This window comes from Homo sapiens, chromosome 2 (genome assembly GCF_000001405.40).
Source record: "Homo sapiens chromosome 2, GRCh38.p14 Primary Assembly".
NCBI classification, from domain to species: domain Eukaryota; kingdom Metazoa; phylum Chordata; class Mammalia; order Primates; family Hominidae; genus Homo; species Homo sapiens.
The window spans coordinates 226,159,319-226,182,549 of NC_000002.12; the positions used below are offsets into that span (position 1 = coordinate 226,159,319).

Sequence of the window (23,231 nt, forward strand, 5' to 3'; positions counted from 1 at the left end):
GATTAAAACTGTACCCCTTCCTTTCACTATATGCAAAAAATCAATCCAAGATGTATTAAAGACTTAAATATAAGAACAAAAACAATAAAAACCCTAGAGGAAAACCTAGGAAATACCATTCTGGACATAGATCTTGGCAAAGATTTCACGAGAAAGTCTCCAAAAGCAGTTGCAACAGAAACAAAAAAAACAACAAATGGGAACCAATTAAATGAAAGGGCTTCTGTACAACAAAAGAAACTATCAACAGAGTAAACAGACAACCTACAGAATTAGAGAAAATATTTGCAAACTATGCATCTGACAAAGGTCTAATATCCAGAATCTATAAGGAACTTAAACAAATCATCAGTCTTTTTCTGAAGTTAACAATACATCATATTTCTCTTTATTTTTTTGGAATTGTGGGTAACTTCTAGTCTGGGAAAATATGATGATCCATTTCTTATCATTTCTAGTATAAATGTAAATAAAAATCTTATTTCCAATCATACCTGCATCTACAGGACATAAATCTTGGAATATTATCTGTTTACATGTAAATATCCTAAGCCTATGCTTTAAAGAGATTTCAGTTTTATTTAAAATTCATGCAAGGTTGGAAGGAGCAAAAAGGTGTCTCAGGGGTCTTGTGTATTTTAGAGAGGAATGTCAAGAATGCAGGCTTCCCAGCTTGTAAAACAATAGCTTCTTTGATTGGAAGTTCAGTTGTGCTTTGCCTGACATTTTCTGTTTTTAAATCCAAAGGTAAATTTAACTTAGGGAGGAGATATGTCTGTTTGTCAGCTTCAAAAGCGATTTGTTTTCGTTTTGTTTCTTTTTTTTCCAAGCAGTAAATCTTTTGAAATTTAAACTCTACCCTTGTTTATCACTGCAGTTATTGCTTTAGAGGTTAAAGTTTGTAACATAGTCCCTTCTCTACCCGCTGAAAGACAGGAGACAGAAAAGCCTATTTGAGAAATTCTGTTGGTAAACCTATTCCCAACGACCCTATTTAAGGCAGATTATGCTGTTCAAAACATGCCACTAATCTATATTTTCTTGATATCATAATAAAAGAAGCTGCCATCAACAAAATAGCCCCTTGTCAATCAAACACTTGCCAAAATTATACCCCACTTTTGAGCTCATGCAAAAAAAAAGTTTCCATTGTTTTGTGCCTTTCTCAAATACATATCAACCAACATTAGTAATTAATATCCTCATGACATCCCTCATATTTTTGTACATCTTTCAATATTTGGGTTAATTCTTTTCCTTATGCATATTCCTAAAACACGGAAAAACAAGAGAAAATTCTTGGTACCCATCCTCTAGTATGATTCTATTATTAAATAAATTTTTTTCTAATTTAAAAACTTATCAGGCTGGATATGGTGGCTCATCCCTGTAATCCCAGCACTTTGGGAGGCTGAGGCAGGTGGATCACCTGAGGTCCAGAGTTCGAGACCAGTCTGACCAACATGGTGAAACATCATCTCTACTGAAAATACAAAAATTAGCTGGGTGTGGTGGCAGGCACCTGTAATCCAAGCTACTTGGGAGGCTGAGGCAGGAGAATCATTTGAACCCAGGAGGCGGAGGTTGCAGTGAGCTGAGATTGCACCATAGCCCTCCAGCCTGGGCGATAGGGCGAGAATCCATCTCATAAAAAACAAAAACAAAAAACACTTATCAACTGACACTTCTCATTTACTTTCTCGTGGTAATATTTAAAAAGAAAACAAGAACACCTCTTTTTGAGTCATCAAACATGTAGAATTGAAAGCTAAACCTGAATTTTAATACTATAAATAGACCATTTTCAAATGATTCACCGATTACCAAAAAGTAAAAGTTAGATATGGGAAAATAACTTTTTGGTTTACCGAGAGACTGAGGATCATGGAAGGCTGGACTTGCCTTTAAGATAACAGGAGTGGGCAAATTACAGCACTTGGGCCAAATCAGCCAAAAGGGCAGACCACCCATTTTAGTGTGAGAGCTAAGAATGTTTTCTATATTTTAATATGGTTAAAAAAAATCAACCGAAATTTAAAAGAAAATAGCACTTCATGAAAGGCATGAAACATGAAATTAAGCTCTCAGTGTCCATAAATAAAGTGTTTTTAGAACACAGTCATGGTCAATCATTTGCATATTGCCTATTGCTGCATTCACAAAACAGTGGCGGAGTTGAATAGTTACAACAAAGACTGTATGACCTGCAAAGCCTAACATGTTTACTAGCTGATCCTTTACAAAGAAAGTTAAGATTATGTCTGTTTTCTGAAACAGTTCCACTGATAACAGCACATATATTTATGGACCATTAAGTTGTGATTAAATATGATTGCTATAAATCAAGCCTTGAAATACCATCTGTCTATTCTTCTAAGAATGATGACTTCAACAGCTCTTTGGCACAATAGACAGTGATTTATTTTAACTCTTTTTTGAGTTTTTTGAGATGGGGTCTCACTCAGTTGCCCAGCACGGAGTGCAGTGGCATGATCTTGGCTCACTGCAACATCCACCTCCCAGGTTCAAGCAATTCTCATGCCTCAGCCTCCCCCGTAGCTAGGATTACATGTGTATGTCATCACATCTGGCTAATTTTTGTATTTTTAGTAGAGACAGGGTTTCACCATGTTGGCCAGCCTGGTCTTGAACTCCTGACCTCAAGTGATCCACGCACCTCAGCCTCCCAAAGTGCTGGGATTACAGGCATGAGCCACTGTGCCGGGCCTTCTAATTCTTTTATTCAGTTTCCCTTTGACCAGCCAAATACTTATTTTCAAAACAGGAAAAACTATGAAATATTCCCTTGGGTATGTACTGACTTACCTGTTGATATGTATTTTGCTGAGAATAGATACCAGAATTTAATATATACCAAAACTGGCACTCCAAAGAAGTGTTTATTTATTTTACTTAATTTCTCCCTTGAAACACACCTAATAAAAATGTTCCTGATAAATTTCCCAAATACATACTGTTAGAATGTCAATAAAAGCTTCAGTACAGTAGTATAGTTGTTTCTTCAAAATGAGAAATATACAGTATTTATTCAGCTATTTATTCAATCACTTGCAAGAAAATAATCTCAAACTGAAAGAAAAAGATAATTTATTGGCACATATGATTGAGAAATCCCTGTTTTAAAATGATGCCAATTACAACGAATTTTCTCTCCTTCTTTTGGTTTAGCTTGTCTCTACCCATCTCTCTGTGGTGTTGTCTACCTCTTTAGGCTACATGTGATGGGAAGAAGCTAGCAGTAGCTTTCTATATTCATTCTCTGAAATTTAAGTCCAACAGAATAAGAGAGCATCCATTCCCAGTACATACAGCACAGAAACACAGATTCACTATGATTAGAACCACGTGGGAGACATGAGACTACAAGGGGGATTGGGAATTCTCATTGGCCAAGCCTGGGTGCTATGCCCCACCCTGGCCATCACTGCCATCCCAGCCAATAACTGGCTAAAAAAAATGAGAAGAATGGGTTCCCAAAGGAAAGTTGAGGGTTTTTGTTGTTGTTGTTGTTGTTTGTTTGTTTGTTTGTTTGTTTTTGTCAGAATAAGGAAGAAGAAATGTAAGACCAGGAAATTTACTATTTGAATTAAATTATTCTTAACCACATTTAGAACTTTCACCAAATACTGTTCATGATTTTTCTACTGCTAATTCATTTTTATTTTTCACAAAGAAAGCTTTAAAATATTATACATTAGGTGAGGCTGAGAGAAGAGAAACTAAAAGAAGTTTGGTGGAAGCTTTTGACCATGTTTCATGTATGCCTATCCCTTAACCACCTTCAACATGAGGCCAGTCCATGGCAAACAATTGTTAATCATCTGTGTACTGCATTTTGCCACCAGTCACCCTCCAACATGCCTCTGCAACACAACACCAGGCCATCAGAATGCTGCGTGATGGGCTCTCAAAGGGGAATGGTGGCCACAGGATTGGCCTTCCATAAGCTGATCCCAGAAAAGGAGTTTAATGAGCTCTAAGATCAACCTAGGCCCAGTTGATTGACTTATGGTAAAATTCAGTTTGCATCTGCTCTTTGGGGTCTCTTTAATTGTCATGATCCTTTTTTCCCTAGAGTTCCCTTTGTCTAAGCAAAACAACAACACAAGAGAACCTTTTCTTTATTTCGGACTTAAGTAACATTCATGCTCTGGTCCTCTGTCCCAACTTGGTGTTCTGTATCTTTCCTATCATTCCAGCTATGGACATCTATTTTTTTTTAATAATTTCTACTTTTATTTTAGATTCAAGTGGTACATGTGCAGGTTTGTTATCTGGATATATTACATAATGCTGAGGTTTGGGGCACAATTAATCCCATTACCCATGTACTGAGCATAGCACCCAATGGTTAGTTTTTCAACCTTTGTCCCCCTCCCAATCTCTCCTCTCTAGTAGTCCCCAGTTTCTTTTGTTGCCATCTTTAGGACATCATTTAAAAAAAAAAAAAAAAGCTTTGAGAATACAATTTGTATATTTGGGTCTGAAATATCATTTTAGTAGAAAAAATATGAAATAAGTTACTATAAGTATGTCCATATTTTTAAAAGGCTAAAAATACCTTGACTCACAGATTGGGCCAACTATCTCTTTTTAAAAATAATAATAGGCCAAGAAACAGCATATTATTATTTTTATCAAAGACCTTAGCATTTTATTTAAGATAAAAAAGAATATATTTTTTTAACACTTTGTGGTGTAAAAGAATTGATTGGCCAGGCGTGGTGGCTCACACCTGTAATCCCAGCACTTTGGGAGGCAGAGATGGGTAGATTTTCTGAGGTCAGGAGCTCGAGACCAGCCTGGCCAACATGGCGAAACCTCATCTCTACTAAAAGTACAAAATTAGCTGAGCATGGTGGCAGACACCTGTAATCCCAGCTACTCAGGAGGCTGAGGCAAGAGAATTTCTTGAACCCAGGAGGCAGAGGTTGCAGTGAGCTGAGATCGTGCCACTGCACTCTAGCCTGGGTGACAGAGTGAGACTCTGTTTAAAAAAAAAAATGATTAATCTACATTCCCTACACATCTTATTGGCCGGAATTCAGTTTCTCTAAGGCAATCAGACTGCAGAACCTAGTCCTCTTGTGTGCCCAGAAAGAAAATGAAAAGGACTTCAAGAACCACTCAGGATTGTCCCTGCTACAGGAAATAAGGAGAGGCTTTCTGGAAGAGGAAGAAATTAATCAAGCCTAGAAAGATTAAGTAAGCACATTTCATCTCTGGCCTGGAAATTCTAGTAGCCCTTTCAGGAGCAAGAAAGTCTAGTACTCTCTTAATATTGAGTCTAGGATGTGAGATGATGGTTATGACTCCATATTCAGAAGTGTGAGCAATCAGTGGCAGCTCCATTCCTGGAAACACAGTAGAGTCTGTCAGCTGTAGCTGACAGAGGTAGTGATTGATGGAAACCTGCCACCTTCACTTGAATCTGTCATAAACCGTCTGCAACTAATCAATTCCACTACACAGTGAGAGTTGTAATGATTCTGAATCCATTTTGTTTCTGAATAGATAGATATGTCTATAATCACACTCAATCTTTAAACTTTCTGCTTTCTCTGACTGTATCATGTATATTATGTATTTGGAAGCATTTGATACATAGATGATATTAATAGATGGATGGATGCATAGATGGATGGATGGATGGATAGATAGATAGATAGATAGATAGATAGATAGATAGATAGATCAAGCAAATGATGGAGTGAAGTAGCAACTGGGGAGACAAAGAATAAAAGCCTACACTTTCCAAGGACATTTTAATTCCCTCTTTTTCTTCTTCTTCTTTTCTTATTTATTTATTTATTTTTGTTTCCCGCAAAGGATTTATCAGGATTAGCAATCAACTGAGCAGTGGAATTTTATGAAATGCCTGAAGGTAATTATGTGGAATTGTGAAATGTATATCAGTGGGATTACTCTAGTCTTGTCTAATTATTTGACCGTTATCAATACAACTGAGTGATAAGTATTTAGAAGATGCTATTTAAATATTTTTCAGTGAATACTGAGAGGCACAGTCTCTTGATAAACCCCTTCCTATTCAATAAGCATGTCAAAATATTAAACAATGTCATCTTAGGAAAGGTAAGAATGGAATTTTGGAACTTAAGCTAAAACTGCCATAAAGACGCTATGGCGTTTCAAACAAGCTGTAGTTGTTTGCATAGATTGGTAGAATTTAATTTTGGAAAAATTACTAATCTGAACAACTAGCGATCAGCCCTGGTGCATAAAATTACTTGCTTTCAAAAATTCTGACCACAAATATTCACAATGGATGCACAAACAAATTTTGCCAGCCACAATACGAAAGATTTTTGGAATCTTACCTTGTCTTGGCAAAATAAGTTGCTTGATTTTTCTTGATTGTCTTGTATTGAGTACTAAAATTAAAGGTGCAGGAACAGCACATTTTCTTTCTCTTCCTAACTTGACTATTTTTGGTTTCGTGAAAAAATATTGATTGCAAAGCACTACCTTTGTGCTAAATTTTAAAACTGCCGCTTATAACATGCTGCTTGTGTAAAAAAAAAAAAAAAAAAGAAAAGAAAAGAAAAAAGAAAAAAAAGAATGTGCAAATTGCAGAAGAAAGTGAGGTACAATGAGTAAGATCGCAGGTGCAATTATCAGACTTCTTGGCAAAACCTCTCTACCACTTAGATGGACCCCTGTGGGCACATTATTTTTCTGCAACTAATTTCATCATTTATGATATAATGATCATATTAGTATTCACTGGTTAAGTGATGTGATAATTAAATGAAACAGATAATCTATTTAAAATACTGGCTATGATGTGTGGCAAAGTGTAAGCCCTCTATAAATGATAGCTATCATTATTTGATAAAATATATTCAGACATGTCTCCAAAGTGATCTGGCGATCATCAGTTTGTGATAAAGCAAAGTGACGTGAGACCATCATGCTAGACTTGTGTTAGAATCTGTTCCACTTTCCACTAACCTACTTATGAAACAGTCTTTAGAGAAATGTAGAAGACATGATATGCATATTATTAAGAACACTCTAAGTCCTAAATATTTACTATCAGTCTTTTGAAATATTTCAGGAGTAAATAGCACCTTAGACAATGTCCAGAAAGACTGACACATTTTGTCTTGAATTTTCCACACAGTCCTTTCTACCTTAACCCCACTAAATTTTATTTCCATCTGGATCACGACTTAAAAACTTGATCAGTAAGATATCCAGTAATCAATTGTGCCAAATGGACATTTCTGAACTCATCTCTAACTTGATCTTCCTGGTCTTATTGGTCCTTTTCAGTCCCACTTTATATCACCAAGTGAAGTGAACTTAACACTCGTTGGCTACCAACTGACTGTCAGGTACACTGAGTCTTAAACTCTGTGGTTCTTGTATCTCTTAGTTTTTTCTTTTTCTTTTTTTTTCCTAACTCTCTGATCATAGTATTCCAGTCTTCTTTATGGATGCCTCTTCCTTTGACTGCCCTTCAAATAAATTTCCCATATGTGTGATCCGATATCTGCTTTTCTTTTCACTCTAGATGTATCTTATCTACAGCCCTGATTTATTACAGGACAATTTATCAAGCAATCTCCAATATACATAACTATTCCAGCACTCTCTATTGAGCTCCTACCACATATCTTCTTGAATATCCACTTGCAAAGATGTTTTGAACCACAATTTCAACATATCTCACCCTGAATCAATGATATTTCCTCCAGTTTGGCTTCTCCTCCATTATTTCTTATTTTCATTAACAGTAACATATCAATCCTATCACTCAAGTTAGAAACCTGGGAACTCTCTAACCATGTCTCCCTCCATCACTTTCTAACTCCAGTCCATCGAAAGTTCATTTTGATTTTCATTCCCAAGTATTTGTTCATTTCAGTTGCCACCCTTCTCTAACGTAACTGACGTAGTTCATCGCTTTTCACTGATATTACTAGAACAGCATTATAGCTAGTTTTCTCTCATTCGTCTTTAGTTAATTCAATCGCCATAATACTTCAGAGTAGTTTGTCTTAAATAAAAATGTGATCTCTTCAACATCTATTTTAAAATCCTTCATTGTGTTCCCAGACTTTTTGGTGAGGCTTTATGTGCATGGGGCCATTATCCTGTGGCTTGACTCTCCAGTCTCATCCCTGATCACCCTTTCCCATGGATCTTAAAAAAAAAAATTATTTCATCTGAACTTCATCTCTTTCAGCCTCACCTGAAAAAAACAGGATGAAATAATACTTTCATCATGCTTGGATCTTCACTGCCTTATCACTAACATTTTCCACAGTTCAACCTTTTAAAAAGAGTTAAAAACATTTGTTTTTTCTAGCTCCTCACTTTCTGTTCACTTGTAAGTTCACCATAAAATCTGGATGCTGTCACCAAGATCATAAAGAGCCTGCCACTTGTCAAATTTAATAGGGACCTTGAAGTGTTTGTGTTGCTTGATGTACCAGTAGTTAACACTGTTGATCACTGTTGGTTCTTGAAACTTTCAATACCTACAGATTTAAGGACATTTTTCTGGGTTTTGTCTTGCTTGTGTGTATTCTCTTACATTTTACAATGGTACCAATATTCTTCCCGAGCCCCTCTTTGTGTGCTAACTCTTAAAATTGTTTTGTTTTTTGCCAGGGTTCTCTTCTTGGTCTCCACGTATCATTCTCAGCCCAGTGGTTCTCAAGTGTATTTCAAGCCAGGTACACTGAGGGCCCCAGTATGCAACAGCAACAGAAGCTCATATATTTGCAAAGCTAAGTTGGAGGTGGGAGATTTTGTCTAATTTTAAAAAGCACCTTAGTGATTTTGACCTGTTGTCTTTCTCTGATCAAGATTCTTACCCTTTCTGGCCGATCTTATCCTTGCTTCATCCTTCACTACCACCTATGTTTAGATGATTCACAAACTTTTACCTCTAGTTCTTATCTAATTTCTCAGTTCCAAGTCCGTATATTTTCCTGCCTCTTGCCAACTCAAACTATATGTTCTACCATTATGTTTAGCCCAAACTGTCCAAGTTGGACCGATTATTTTGTTTTCTCCAAAATGTTTGTCAAACAGAATTCCTGTCTCTGTAATTATCCAAGCAAAAAACCTGGGGTTCATTTACCTCCTTTCCCCAACATTTTTCACCATATCCAATAGATACTCTAGCCCTGTCATTTTTTTAAATTTCTCAGTCACTCTCATTACTTTACACTTCCCTCTCTTCTCATTGATACTGTCATTGTTTAGTCTTCTTTCTAATCTATTATGATCATTCTCTAATTATCGTGCCTACAGCTTGACTGTCTGCAATCTCTTCCATTCAGATCTCAGAGTAAATTTTCAAAATAAAACTCTTATCATTTCACTGTCTGAATCACAACTCTTTTGAACCCCCACCATTTACAGGATAAAGTCCAAATTCCTAACCTGATGTTAGATCTCCTCTTTCAGATGAATAAGAACAGAGTTCACTGACCCATTTTCATTTATTTATTCGACAAATATTTATTGAGTATCACCAGGCAATACACTAAGGATATGGAATGAAAAAGGTCAGGGAAAATAAAATAAACAAAACAAACATAAATTCAAAGTTGTAAGTTCTATGTTAAAAAAAAATTAATGATGTAATTGATATTAACTAGATGGCTGTTCTTTTTTGTTGTCTTGTATGCTTCTCAATTACAGCACACAGTGTTCGTGTTATTTAAACAGCTGTATCCTACACTAGATTCTCGATGCCTTAAATAAAGACAAGTCTTACTGCATTTTCAGCCTCAGCACTTAGCAGTGACAGCACAGAGTAGGAGCTTCATCAATGTTAGCTGAATGTACTCACTCAGGAGCATTTGCAAATGTTAATGTTGACTGACTTTGGGATGTGTAAAATATTTGGCAAGGTAGTGGGGAAAGGAAAGAGAAAAGGCAAGGGGTGCTTTACCATGCAAATCCATTAAATAGATCAGGATACAGTAAGTAGAGTTCCAATGGCAAAATATATATCTCTGATTTTATAATTTAGTGAACAAAACTCAAAAATAACCCATTGACATAGCACTTTTTTGTCCAGTAGAATCTGCCCATCTGCCAAGTGGGCCTTGATCTTTCATGCATTTCATGTGCTATTTAGCTCTCTACTTATCTTCAACTACCAGCCTCTTACTTTATATGCTTATTATTCAGAGTATGTAACATTAGCTGCTGTATAGACAATCCCTCAAATCTCAGTGATTTAACAAATCACAGGTTGATTTCTTGCTCATACCAAATCTAATGTGTATTAGCAAGGAGCTTAGCTTTGTATAGTCATTTCAAGGCCAGGATTCTTCAACTGTATGGCTCCTGTACCTTTTAAGGCCTTAGCATATTCCATCAGATCTCCTACAGTCAACAGATATTGGGAAAGATGAAAGGGTACCCAGGAATTTGTGGAAATCAGATCTAGAAATGGTATCTATATTCCATTACCCGCATTCTTTTGGCCAAAACTCAATAATGTAGCCACAACTAACCTCAAGGAGCCTGGGAAACAAAGTCTGATTGTGTGTCAGGGAACAAGGGAAAAAAGCATGGCTATTGATGGGCAAGACTTGATAGAGAAGGAGTACTTTGTCTAAGAGTGATTCCTTGCAGATTAGCCACTCATAAAGTGCCATGGGTACCATCTATAGTCAAGTGTTTAAGACACTCAATCCCGGAAGAATTCTGAGCTGATGAATTCAGTTATCCATCCACTATATCATGTGAATTATATCCACTGGGCTTATTTCCAGCCCACTGATCATAGCACAGTAGGAGCTGGGTCTGCTGCAACCATGCATGCTGAGCCAATGGAATTAGGCTGGAACCAAAGTTCTGCCAAATGATCTAATGTTGATCTCAACTTCTGATCACATCAGGAAAGGGACGTGTGCTCAAAAATTCCGTAGCTCAAAGTTTAGGGTTTCTTCCTTGGAGTCTGATGCTGGTCCTGCTAGTTGCAAGGTTGCAGCAGAGGACCTACATTCCTGCTAATGCTCCTGCTTCTTTTATTTTACCCTTGGAAACCAGACCTGCTGAATACTGTCTAGCCTTTTGTCTTTGTTTACTCAACACAGGCATTCTCTGCTACAATACTTATGTTTAATCTTGGGCTTCCACATAGTTTCTGGTCCCATGTCTGTCTATGTACAGCTAGGTCTGCCCAACCTACACTTTCTCCTCACATTCAGTGTCCAACTAGTCTCATACAAGCCCCATATGGCCACACCACAGTATCAGACACTTCTCCCAACACACTCCATCCTTTTCCATCCAGAGAGGCACTAGGGCTCAAACATAATAGGCTTTGTGCAGACAAGTCCCCCAGCTGATTGTTTGAAATTGCTTTGATAGCTTGTAATTTGTGATTATATTTTTTAAGCTGAAAGACTAAAATGCCTGGTAGTTGAAAAATCATTTAAAAGATTTTACCTTTCACTATACTGCTGGTGCAAAAATGCATTAATTTTACCATCAGCATTATTAAAAATAATGTCCCATATTTATACATTTGACCATTTTTAAACTTATTTAACAAATATTTACTGTGTATTCATAATGCACCAAGCACTGGGGAGCACTTGGGATACAAAGTATTTTGGAAGATAATAATGAGGTGCAGACAGTTTAGATGAGTTAGCTAAGGGAGATTTTTTTTTTTTTTAAGAAGAAGTTGCATGTAAGTTGTAACATGAAAGATAAGTGTGAGTTTGCCAGAGAGCAGGGAGGAGGGTATCCTAGATAGAGGCAAGAGCATGTCAAAGGCTATTTGGAGAACTGGAAGAATTGAAAGATGGCCACAGTGGCTGAGCTGAGTCTGTAGGTATGGTGGGGGATGTATGAGGGGTTGATGCAACATGAGGCTGGAGAAGGGGCAGGTCTTGATAAACATTGTCAGTCATATCTTAAAAATTTAGATTTCTTCTTAAAGAAAATAAACGTCTTTAAAAATAAAGGGTTTAAAACAAGTGTCTCAGATAATCAAACATGATAGCTGCCTCAAGGGTAATAGATTGGCAAGAGACAGTGTGGACATAGGGTTTCGGAGTCTGTTGCAGTAGCTTGGGTAGGAGAGATGGTATATTTTGTACTAAGGCCGGGACAGTGAAGATGGTGACCATTAACTTATTTGAGATATTTTTTGGTTATAAAATGAATCATAATTAAAGACAATAGGTCATGTAAATCCTTGAGAAAAAAAGCACCATTAGGAATAAATTTAAGAATTAACATAAAAATTGGCCAGGCATGGTGGCTCACATCTGTAATCCCAGCACTTTGGGAGGCCGAGGCGGGCAGATCACTTGAGGTCAGGGGGTCGAGACCAACCTGGACAACATGGTAAAACCCCCTCTCTACTAAAAATACAACAATTAGCTGAGATACTTGGGAGGCTGAGGCAGGTGAATTGCTTGAATCTTGTGGGCAGAGGTTGCAGTGAGCTGAGATCATGCCACTGAATGGGCGACAGAGGGAGACTGTCTCAAAAAAAAAAAGAAAAAAAATTGTCATAAAAATAACGATATTAGAAACAAATCACAGACACTGTGACCCTACACAGCTGCATTATTGTCTATTGGTATTGCCATTTTTCATTTAATTTTTGTCCCTATCTAGGAATAGTCAACAATTTTTTTTTTTTAAATGGGGTCTCACTCTGTCACCCAGACTGGAGTGCAGTGACACGGTATCAGCTCATCACAACCTCTGCCTCCTGGGTTCAAGCGATACTCCTGCCTCAGCCTCCTGAGTAGCTGGGATTACAAGCACCCACCACCAGGCCCAGCTAATTTTGGTCTGTTTAGTAGAAATGGGGTTTCACCGTGTTGGTCAGGCTGGTCTCGAACTCCTGACCTCAAGTGATCCTCCCACCTCAGCCTCCCAAAGTGCTGGGATTACAGGCATGAGCCACCGTGCCCAGCTAACAATTCTCTTAAAAGAGCTACCATCAAAAAATCTGAAAAAAGCACTATTTAAAAAAAAAAATCACAGACCTGAACATAATGAAATATAACAAATGAATCACTCTGAATGGTACACTCCCACAAAAATGCCATGCCTGGGAGTTTGAAAGAAAAGCCAACCACCTGGGCTTGGGATTCAATCTGTGTTTTCAGTGACGCTTGAAGGTGAAACTCTCCCTTGTAACTAGAGAGTTACAGATCCTTAGAGAGGCGCTTCAGTGGTTTCATTCAGCGGTTACTGCAAAAGCTGTCCAGGTAAGTCCCATGACAGCCTCACAGGGTCCTTTGAAGGATCAATCAGTCCACAGGATCAGAGACTACTTTGCCCTCAGCATTTTCAGAATTTCAGCGACAGGGCATAATACATTATTTGATTATCTTAGCTTAGTATAACAAAATCCCAAGCTCTTCAATTCCTAATAATATGGGGTTTTTGTTTTTGCATTTTTTTTTTGTGGTGATTATTACTTCATAGCAAACTTCTCTCTGCTGGTGTTTTGCTGTTTTGCTTATCTCCACTGGGGCTGGGTTATAATAGCTTGGAGATGTTTGTTTCCTGTTTGTGGAATGTCTGACTTTCCAGCTCACTTTGCCCACAGGTTTGAGGCTGATAGATTCCAGGAAAATAGGAAGAATTCCATTCAAAATACCATAAAAATGGAGCAGGCTACAAGACTTTTGAGATAACACTACTGTTAAATTTTTTAAAAGAAAGACATTCTGAACCTGAGAGTCTCTTCAGTTTCATGAAGTGTCCCGGCAGGACGCTGAAGGCTACCGAGAACCCTGACTCCTATTAAATCAGATGGTACCTTATTGTTGCGTCAGAGCATTTTTCTACTTTCTCTCCCTTATGGAGCTAGCTCAAAGGTGTATTTTAGCTCCTGTTTTCTGAAAGTCCATGAAAGAGAGACACTATCAGTTTGCAACAATTATCCTTTATGTAGCACTTTTATTTTAGTATTCTCATGGAGCAACAAAGCAGGGCACCTTACCTGCAGAAAGTCAACAAAAAGGAGGGGAGATGCTATTGTCTTTGAGCTGGGGAAGGGTTCTCTGTTGACAAGTTAGACTCCAAAAAATTTGAGCCCCGGATTGAGGTAGACTAAGGAACCATAGTCTGTCTTGTGCCATATAAGCACAAAGAATTTTACAAGAACAATTCATAATAAGCTTTGTTAAACTAAAATTTTATCTTTTTGTTATGATTTGTAGTGCCATTAGCCTAATGATGTTAGGTATAAAACTCATTCATTCCAAAATTTTGTATAAATTATACTTTCCTTGCAGCTGGTAAATTCTTAAGGTGAGTAATATCACTTTTCCATCTGTTTCTCATATTCATTAAATAAAAACTATATTTTGTATGCTTACTTACCTTTTTTTCTAATGATACTCACCTATACTCTTTTGCTTTTAATCTATATAATTTCATAACATAGCATCATACAGTTAAGAGGCAGGAAAAACCAGTACCTTGGCCTCAATAGGTAAACTGTATGTTTCCAGGACACAGACATTAATTTGCTGAGTTAGAGTTCAGTAGTACCTTATTGATTATTATGTAAAACTCCTTCCTTTTAACAGACTAGGTAACTTAAGTTTTTCATGGACAAATATTAATTTTCAGCCAACTCTGTTCCAAATGCTATACAAATGTAAGTAAGGCATAATTCTTGTCCTTTAGTGTCTAATACTCTGCAACAAGGTTTCTCAACCTCTGGCTAGATAATTCTTTGTTGTGGTACACTGTCCTGTGCATTCTAGAATGTTCCACCACATTTCTTGCACCTCAAAAATATCTCCAGATTTGCTAACAATCCCCTAGTTGAGAACCACTGTACTAGAAGCAAAAACAAACCATGCACATAAAGACTTAAAATATAAGCAGAAAGTACAATGAGACACAGTAGATATAAGCACAGCCTCTGGAGTCAGTTGGTCTGAACTTGAATTCTGCTTCTACTAAGCAGGTTACTTAACCTCTCCATTCTTCAGTTTCTTCATCTGTAAAACTGGGCTCTATGATAATATCTATCATATCTTGAGTTCTAGTGAAAATTAAAGGATTTTATGTGTGTGTGTCTATGTGATTAGAATAGGTGTTCACACCACATTGTCAACACTGAATAAATGTTAGCTCTTATTTTTCCAATAAAGAAACATTCCACAATTCAAATTTAAAGGAGGTATTTTGGAAGTAGCGGGGGAGAATATTTCCAGACAGCTGCATCTTCAATTAAGGCTTTGGGTTAGATAATTGCTGAGTCATCTATAACTTTATTGATGAATGTCAATGTGAATGGATGATTCTAATCCAATCTCTTTGTTTTTGAAAAGTGAATGGAAACTGCATGAAATAATTTATCTAATAATTCATTACCAAGGTTCTCCCTCAAATGTTCACTTCATCCCTGTTGTTTATTATAGATAAGAATATGGAATGCTCACTCCACAACATTGTTTGTGAAAATCTTCAGATTTATTTTATTGAACAAGGTAAATAATGCAATTGTACCCTTGTCAGTTTCAACAGAGAAATCACACGTCAGTTGTATATGTTCCTTCTTGCCTTCTTTGATCACTCCCTCCTTTTCGCCTTCCCTATGTATTTCATTCCTTTCTTCCTTCTCCTTACCTTCTTTCATTTAACAAGTGTTTATTGAATATCTACTATAGCCACTGTGCCATGTGCTGGGGCTATAATTTGATCAGGAAGCACATAATCTTCCTCCTAGTCTTCCGCAGCCTGATTTATATTTATATATTAATAATTAAAATAGTCAAAGAAACACACAATACATTAATCAATTCACATAATCATGGATTTATTTTTCCTTATGTTTCTTCAAATCTACATTCTAATTCTGTTCTGCTATTCTTTCTTATAAAAACAAACAAACAAACAAAGGCTTTTCAGTTTTTGATCTCTAGATCAAAAAGTAAATTTCTCTCTTGCTTCTCCCCTAGCCCATTCTGATAGAAAGATATTCTTAATGAATGGAGAAACATATTCCAAAGCCATGAGAATAAGCTAATTTTCCACAGGAGCCCAGGCAGTTTCCTTCCTGATCAGAGAGGAGTTGCAGGAGTGCCAGGTGGCCAGTTGCTGCTCTCTTCTTTCCCTTCTGGAAAGAACAAAACATTTGTGTTTCTGAGATAGACTGTCCAGGGCATACACCTGGTTGTGTATTCTCCTAAAACTCTATCTCCTGATATTTCAGTGTAAAAAAATTTTCAACAGAATACTCAGCGCCAAAGAAAATCTTGAAAAATAATGAAAATCAAACTGGAACTAGCATTCTATCCTTCACTGTAGTGTTGTGTGTCTTCACCTCTTTGTAGTGTGATTATGGTGCCTTAGAAAAATACAAGTAACAATACAGGTAAAAATACAAGGTAACATTAATTTTTGGATTCATTAATCCAGACTTTCACCTTTTTTCCAATACATGATGCTGAGGGGAAAGGGAAGAAGAAAATAGGGGAGCAAACAGTCTAAGCAAGATTTTTTTTTTTTTTTAAAGTATAATAGCCAAATTTCTGGGGGGAAAAAAAAGAAAAACATCAGAAAAAAACTAAACTGGCATGGGTTGGAGCCTGATGAATCTCAGACCCTGGCTCGGGTCTAAGCTTGCAAATGAGGGTGAAATAGCCCCAAATGCGGGGGCTAAAATGGTGTGAGTAGAGGAAACCAAGCCAATTTTTAAAATGTCCTTTAAAACACAGCATACTGCTCCTGTGTGCCAAAAAAAAAAAAAAAAAAAAAAGAAAGAAAAATTAAAAAAGAAACCCTTGCAATACACTTTTGAGTACATCTTCTTAGTTAATTATTTTTTTTAAGTTTTGTAAGGCATTATCCCTGTTTTATATATAAGAAAACCTTGGGCCAGAGAGTTAAAATGACTTTGTCAGGTCATATAACTAGTCAACTATAGAACTATAGAACCAAGACCCTAGCATTTAATTGTGTCCATTACAGCCCTTGCTTTTAGGGGGATTTTATTCCCCTTTCTGTTTTCTAAATCTGTCTTTCTATGATAGTTTCCTTAAAAGTTTAGATTATTTCATTTGTTTTTCTTTGAAGCTTGTAATACCTAAAACCCTTCAATGGGTCCCAGTCTTACAGCTTTACAAGTAAGCCCTTAGCATGAGATAAAAGCTCTTTATGATGTAACCCAGTCAAAATATGTCCACACGCTGCAGATACTGCAGCTAAAATTCACACCCAAGCAGTCTAAGTGCAGATTCTACCTTCCAAACCCCAAAGGTATCCTGTCCCACTTTGTGTCCCTTTTCATATCTCTAGCTCAGTGCCTAGCACATGGCAGCATGGAACAAATCCTTGCTATTTGCACGTGTGTTTGCATGAAGGAAGAAAGGAATGATTCTCTCTGGACTATCTATCTTCCCCTGCCCCTGTCTGAACTCTGAGTTTTGGCCTTGCTCATTCTAACTCATCCTTCTACCAGCCCGACACCAGCCTGAAAAGCCATGCTGAGTGGCATTACATCATGCTGGTCAAAATTCACAAGTTCTAACTTGTAAAGCACATTTAAAATAAATAGCAGGAAGCATTGAAACTTGATTTTAAAATGGGCAAAAGAATAAACATTTCTCCAAAGAGGATATGCAAATGATCAACAAACATATGAAAAGATACTCAACATCATTAATCATTAGAGAAATGCAAATCTAAACCACAATGAGATATCACTCCCACCCATGAAAATGGCAACTATCAAAAAGAAAAAAAAAAAAACCCAGAAAATAACCAGTGCTGGTGAGGATGCAGAGAAATTGACACCTTTGTACACTGTTGGTGGGAATGTAAAATTGTGCAGACACTGTGAAAAACAGTATGGAAGTTCCTCAAAAAATAAAAAGTAGAATTGTCATGTGATCCAGCAATCTCACTTCTTTATATTTATCCAGAAGAATTGAAAGCAGGATCCTGAAGAGATATTTGCATACCCATGCTCACGGCAGCACTGTCTACAATAGCGAAAAATAAAAGCAACCCAAGTTTCTATCCATAGCTGAATGAATAAACAAAATGTGGTGTATACACATAACGAAATACTATTCAGCCTTAAAAAGGAAGAAAATTCTGGCATGGGTTAAACATGGATATATCTTAATGACATTATGCTAAATAAAATAAGACAATCACAAAAAGGTAAAAGTTGTATGATTTTAATTACATGAAGTTATCTAGATTAGTCAAATTCATAAAAATAGAAATTAAAATGGTGGTTGTCAGGGACTGGGAGTAGGGAAAAATGGGGAGTTATTTAATGGGTACAGAATATGGTGAAGCCTAAAGCTGTCCTTCAAATCACTTCTGTTTTTCATTTTTCTACTGATGTTTTCTTTCTCTATTCCCAAAGCCAATGTTTTCTCAGCATTCCCAAAGCCAACACTGGATTTAAGTGTGTTTCTTGAGTGGGAGGATCAGCCAGTACTGGTATTCACCCTATCAAAAAATTGCCACAGCAGGCTTTGCCATCATTCCCCAAAATATTTATCTAACCAAGTCCTTCAGGTTTAAGGACATTTGGGATTTTTTTTAAAGCCTAAAATGCAAATGTTATCCTAGAAGATCAAGAACAACTAATAACCATTAACCTTAAAAATAACAATTAACACCTCAGTCCAAATGAGTTTATAACATTTTCTTTAATAGTGAATGGATCAGTGGTTGTTAAATTTTCTGAGTTACTAGCACTAGAGCTTAGGGTGACATTGAAGGAGTTAAAAGGTAAATGCCAATTCTTTTGAAAAAAATGTTTAAAATATACCATTATAGTCCTATTCATTTGGTATTCTTTCAGTACTATTTGGGAGTTTGAGTAGAAATGCTTATTTCCCTGACCTTGTCCTATGAAAGAAAATACAAACACAAAGAAATTAAAAGTTCTAGTGGATTGTGATAAACAAAGTTCCTTTTGGTGGCACCAGCTTACCTCTGACCTAAAGGGGCACATTCTTCCGTGCCCCACCATGCGTCTCCCAACTCAATCATCAGACTCAGTTATTCTGACCAACGTTATAATATACAGTATGAATCCTCAACTGTTACAAAAATGTATTTCCACATTGATCAAAATGTATTGAAAAAAACTATTGCACTGTTTTTGTATATTGTTTCAGATTCCAATGGAAAGAACTAGAATAAACTATAAATTCTTCTAGGACAAAAAGAAAAAAAACTCTCTGTCATCTTCTGCCACCAGAACTCTACAATTCTTAGCACAAGAGAGACATTCAAAAACTATCTTTAGTAAGATAATTTAGTAAGAGTCTGGTAATAGAGAAGTTTAATGGAGAGAAGAGGTTGGAAAGTCTATTGCTTGAGGTGGTGGAGACTGTGGTAGTACTGCCCTATGGTGTTGGGAACCATAGTTTCTGTGTTTTCTGTCAAAAGAACTAAAAAATTAAGAGGCGTGAGGTGGTTTCCATGACCATGTGGAAAGATCAAACATGGAAGAATATAGAAAATCAACTTTCTTTTCCTTATAATTTAATTTATGAACAATTTTCTTTTATAAATTTAAGAGAAGCTTAAATGGGGCTCTTTCTAACATAGCTTTGAATGAGGTTCCAATAATTAACATCAGATAACAAGATGTGTATGAGAGAGTTTACTATAAACAGATTTTACAAAGGTTAAAAAAAAACTATTGCATAATTCTTATGTCTCCTCCTTTTTTTCAAGGCTATAAAAGTATTTACAGAGGAGAGGGAAAGAGAGCACAGTGGAGAGATGCCTTGGGAGAGAGCTGTTACTGGCCATGGTGTCATTCTTCTTCCACAGGTAGTGGTACCCCATTCCATCCCAAGTCTAGTGAGGAGTGACTACGTAATGATTCAGAGGGCCATGGAATGTGTGGGAAATATGGGCTCAGCTTGACTCATGACTGCCAAAGGCATAGTGGCTTCAGGTAGAGGGGTAGGGGTCACTGCCTTGGGGAGGGCCTGCCTGCACTTCAGAGTGCTGGAATAAAGGAGCAAATATGCTCCCTTCCTTGTTTTATGTGGGAGAGAGAACCAATGTAGAGCCCTTAAGTCCTTCTAAGAAATCCAACTAGATGGGCCAGGGATCCCCACAGGAGAAGATGGAAATGAATGCTGTGTCCCTGGGAGCTGAAAAGCTTTCAATCTACCATCATAATTAGATGCATCGGCCCAGGTGAAAGGGATTTCAGGAGTGGGGTCTTCTGCAAATCCATGAAGATGACTCTCGAGCAGAAACATCAACCTTAGCCATCTGTTGAACCCTGAAAATGAGAAGCCTGATAAGGAAGGTCCAGTTCAAATAAGGCTTTTCCTCTGTCTCCCCGCTGCCAGGATCTGAATGACAGACACTGTCTGGTGAGCTGCTGTTAGAGGGAGGATAAGGATCACAGTGTAAAAGATAGAAAGGAAATCAGGTGCCTCTCAAGCTCTACTCCCACAGCCCTTTCCCTTTGTCTATTTCCAGGGAGAAGCAGATCCAAACTGAGAAGGGAGAAGATGTGATAGTTGATATCACAACAAGCTTGAGTTTTGATTAATATCTTGGACAGGACATTCTATGTTCCAAATAGAGATTGTGTGTTACAAAGTGACTGCAGGACCAAAAATGAGTAGCAAATTCATGAACCTCTTAGATTTTTTTAATTTAGGACATGATGAGATTACTGCCAGTGACTCAACTTTTAAAATACAAGGAATAACTAAATAAATAAAGTAAAATTGCACTTTTAATTGTATTTTGAAGACATCATGAGCTGTGATTCATTCACTTCATCTCATAGAACTTCTGCTGGTGATAATTATATTTAATATTGTTACAATCACCCCTTCCTCTCAACTTGTTGTGATGTATGTCCCCCCAGCCTCCTTCTGAAAGGTGAGTTAACACAGCTTATTAGGGTGTTACATTAGAATCACTGTTTTGGAAAAGCCAAGCATGGTGTGGGCTTCTGGTGTCAGATGTGAATGTGAGAGATGAACAGCCAAGCTCTGCAAATGAAACACAGCCTCACTCATCCCCCTTCCCTCACATGCACCACCGCCCCATCTTCAAAGTCAGGGCTGCCTCAGCATGTCACAGGAGGCAGGTAATGTCATCTTGTAAACACCAGCGATGAGCATGAGCCGAGACCCCCAGCAGCAGAGGATATAAACCGTCCTCCTGAAGCAGGATTTAATTACATTCTCCGTCAGGAAAGGAAGTTGGATTTGCTTCAGTGGAATTGCATTTTCTGCATTTGGGTGATTTGTTTATCCTATAAAACCATTTCCCAGTACCACTACTGGAATGCTGGCAACTAGAAACCTGCGTGGCTCACTCTTTAGACTGAAGGACACTCCTGTCCCCGTGTTTACATTTCTACCTTTCACAGCCTGGCATTCCGAGAGGCCTTTGTGAAAACAGCGCAGAGTCCTCGGGGGAAAGTGCTCAAGATTAGTGCTATAAATTCTCCTCCACGGCTCTGCTACTTCATGTTCTATAATATTCCTGAATTCCTGCATTTCTGAGGTCAAGGGTCCTGTCTTGTTGTCCAGTGTCTCATACTGAACAAAATTCTCATCTGACTCCTTTGCCCTATTATGTTTGGGGTGCCGGGCTGGTTCTCTGATGATCTCAGTCACAGCCTCTCCATCTTTTTCAAAAACAGCAATTTGTGGATGAGTTGTGTGCTGGCGGTATTTTCTTTAAACAGTTCTCTATGTTAAAAATGTTGCCAATCAGAATATCTTCAGATATAACAAATGTTAAAGTACACAAGAAGTCCTCGGTTCAGGGCTTCAAGGAACTCACCTGGATGCAAATCAAAGAATCAGTTGTCAGCTTGGACAAAGCCAAGAGGTAAAGAAGTGGACAATTTGGATCTAGTCCTTAAGGAATAACCATATGGATTATTTCATGCTCAAATGTACCCCATTTCTATAGCACTTGGGAAATATATGAGTGTAAATGAATATTTAACAACTCATCGTTGGGAATTTCTGAATATCCTCAAATTGTAGAGATTCCAGCCATGGGGCTACAGACCCAAGCTATGAATACGTGTGTTTAGAAAAGAGAGCCTTTCTGCCCTAGTCCCAGCCATTGTTTCTGGTGGATGCAGCAACATCCTCCTACCCCCTCTCCCTGATTCTGTCTTTTGCCACCTTTAGCACATTCCAGTGGTGCTCAAGCAGAATGACTTTGCCCCCCATTTGGCAATGTCTGGAGACAGTTTTTGTTGTCATAACTAGGGGGTAGGGGGTGACATTATAGCTTTATTAGGGAGAAGCCAGGGGTGCTGGTAAACATCCTACAATGCAGAGGAATCTCTGTTACAACAAGGAATCATCCAGTCCAAAATGTCAGTTGTGCAGAGAAACCCTGGTGTATTCCCACACTGCAGCAGGAACAATCCTTTTAACATTTACAGCAGATAATGTTACTCCTCTGGTCAGAACCTCTCAGTTGTTTTTAGTGTCCACTGGAGTATAAGTCAGAGTTCCTCACAGCTTATAAAGGTCAAGATGACCTGTTCCTGCTCTCCCTGACTTCACCTCCTGCTGCTTTCTTTTTGCTCACTCCACTCCAGCCAGGAGTTTCTCCTTGTTCCTCCAACCACTTCTCCAATCCATTCATGCTTCTGCTCAAATGTCATTTCCTTAGACAGGATTTCCCTGGCAAATTTATATATATAAAAGCAAATACTCCATAACTTTTCCCAACCCTACACCACAGGGAAACACAATTAGATGAATTATTATCCATAGTGGTTAACCCTGTAAAATTCCCACCCTCCCTTCCTTCCTTTTTTCCTTCTTTCCTCCCTCCCTCTCTCCCTTCCTCACTCCCTCCTCCCTCCCTTCCTTCCTTCTTTCCTCCCTCCCTTCCTTCCTTCCTTCTTTCCTCCCTCCCTCCCTTCCTTCCTTCCTTCCATTCTTCCTTCCCTGCAAATAATATAATTAAATCCAATAACCCAACACCCAACATGAAGCTAGAACACTCACAGAAACCCATGTGAGTATCCCAAGAATTTCTTTGCCACTCCTCATTCAAGACAACTACTACCCCAAATCTTGTATTAACAATGTTCCTGACTTCATTTGATATATGTTCACACATCTATTTGTATTTCTTTAAAAGTATTAGTTTGGGTTGCGTGTGTTTGGCTTTATGAAAAATGTAATGTTTTAAATATATAATAACTTATTTTGTATTCCTATTATATTGCTATGATC

At 37.6% G+C, this 23,231-nt stretch overlaps 1 long non-coding RNA gene across 1 annotated transcript in view, besides 1 other annotated feature; it reads left to right on the forward strand.

Annotated features, from left to right (window-relative positions):
- The window catches only part of LOC646736 (uncharacterized), a 37,269-nt gene extending 16,525 nt beyond the window's left edge, over nt 1-20,744 (forward strand). Inside the window, exons 3-7 of the long non-coding RNA NR_046102.1 lie at nt 5,070-5,226; nt 5,851-5,905; nt 15,429-15,497; nt 19,717-19,815; nt 20,482-20,744. This is a non-coding gene — a long non-coding RNA (uncharacterized LOC646736). The remainder of the gene's footprint in view (nt 1-5,069; nt 5,227-5,850; nt 5,906-15,428; nt 15,498-19,716; nt 19,816-20,481) is intronic.
- Nucleotides 615-909: an enhancer, noted in NCBI's record as "tiled region #2716; HepG2 Activating DNase matched - State 5:Enh". NCBI's record gives its function as "activates a minimal TATA promoter and a strong SV40 promoter by Sharpr-MPRA in HepG2 cells {active_cell/tissue: HepG2}" and the evidence as "EXISTENCE:reporter gene assay evidence [ECO:0000049][PMID:27701403]".
- Nucleotides 20,745-23,231: the final 2,487 nt, after the last annotated feature.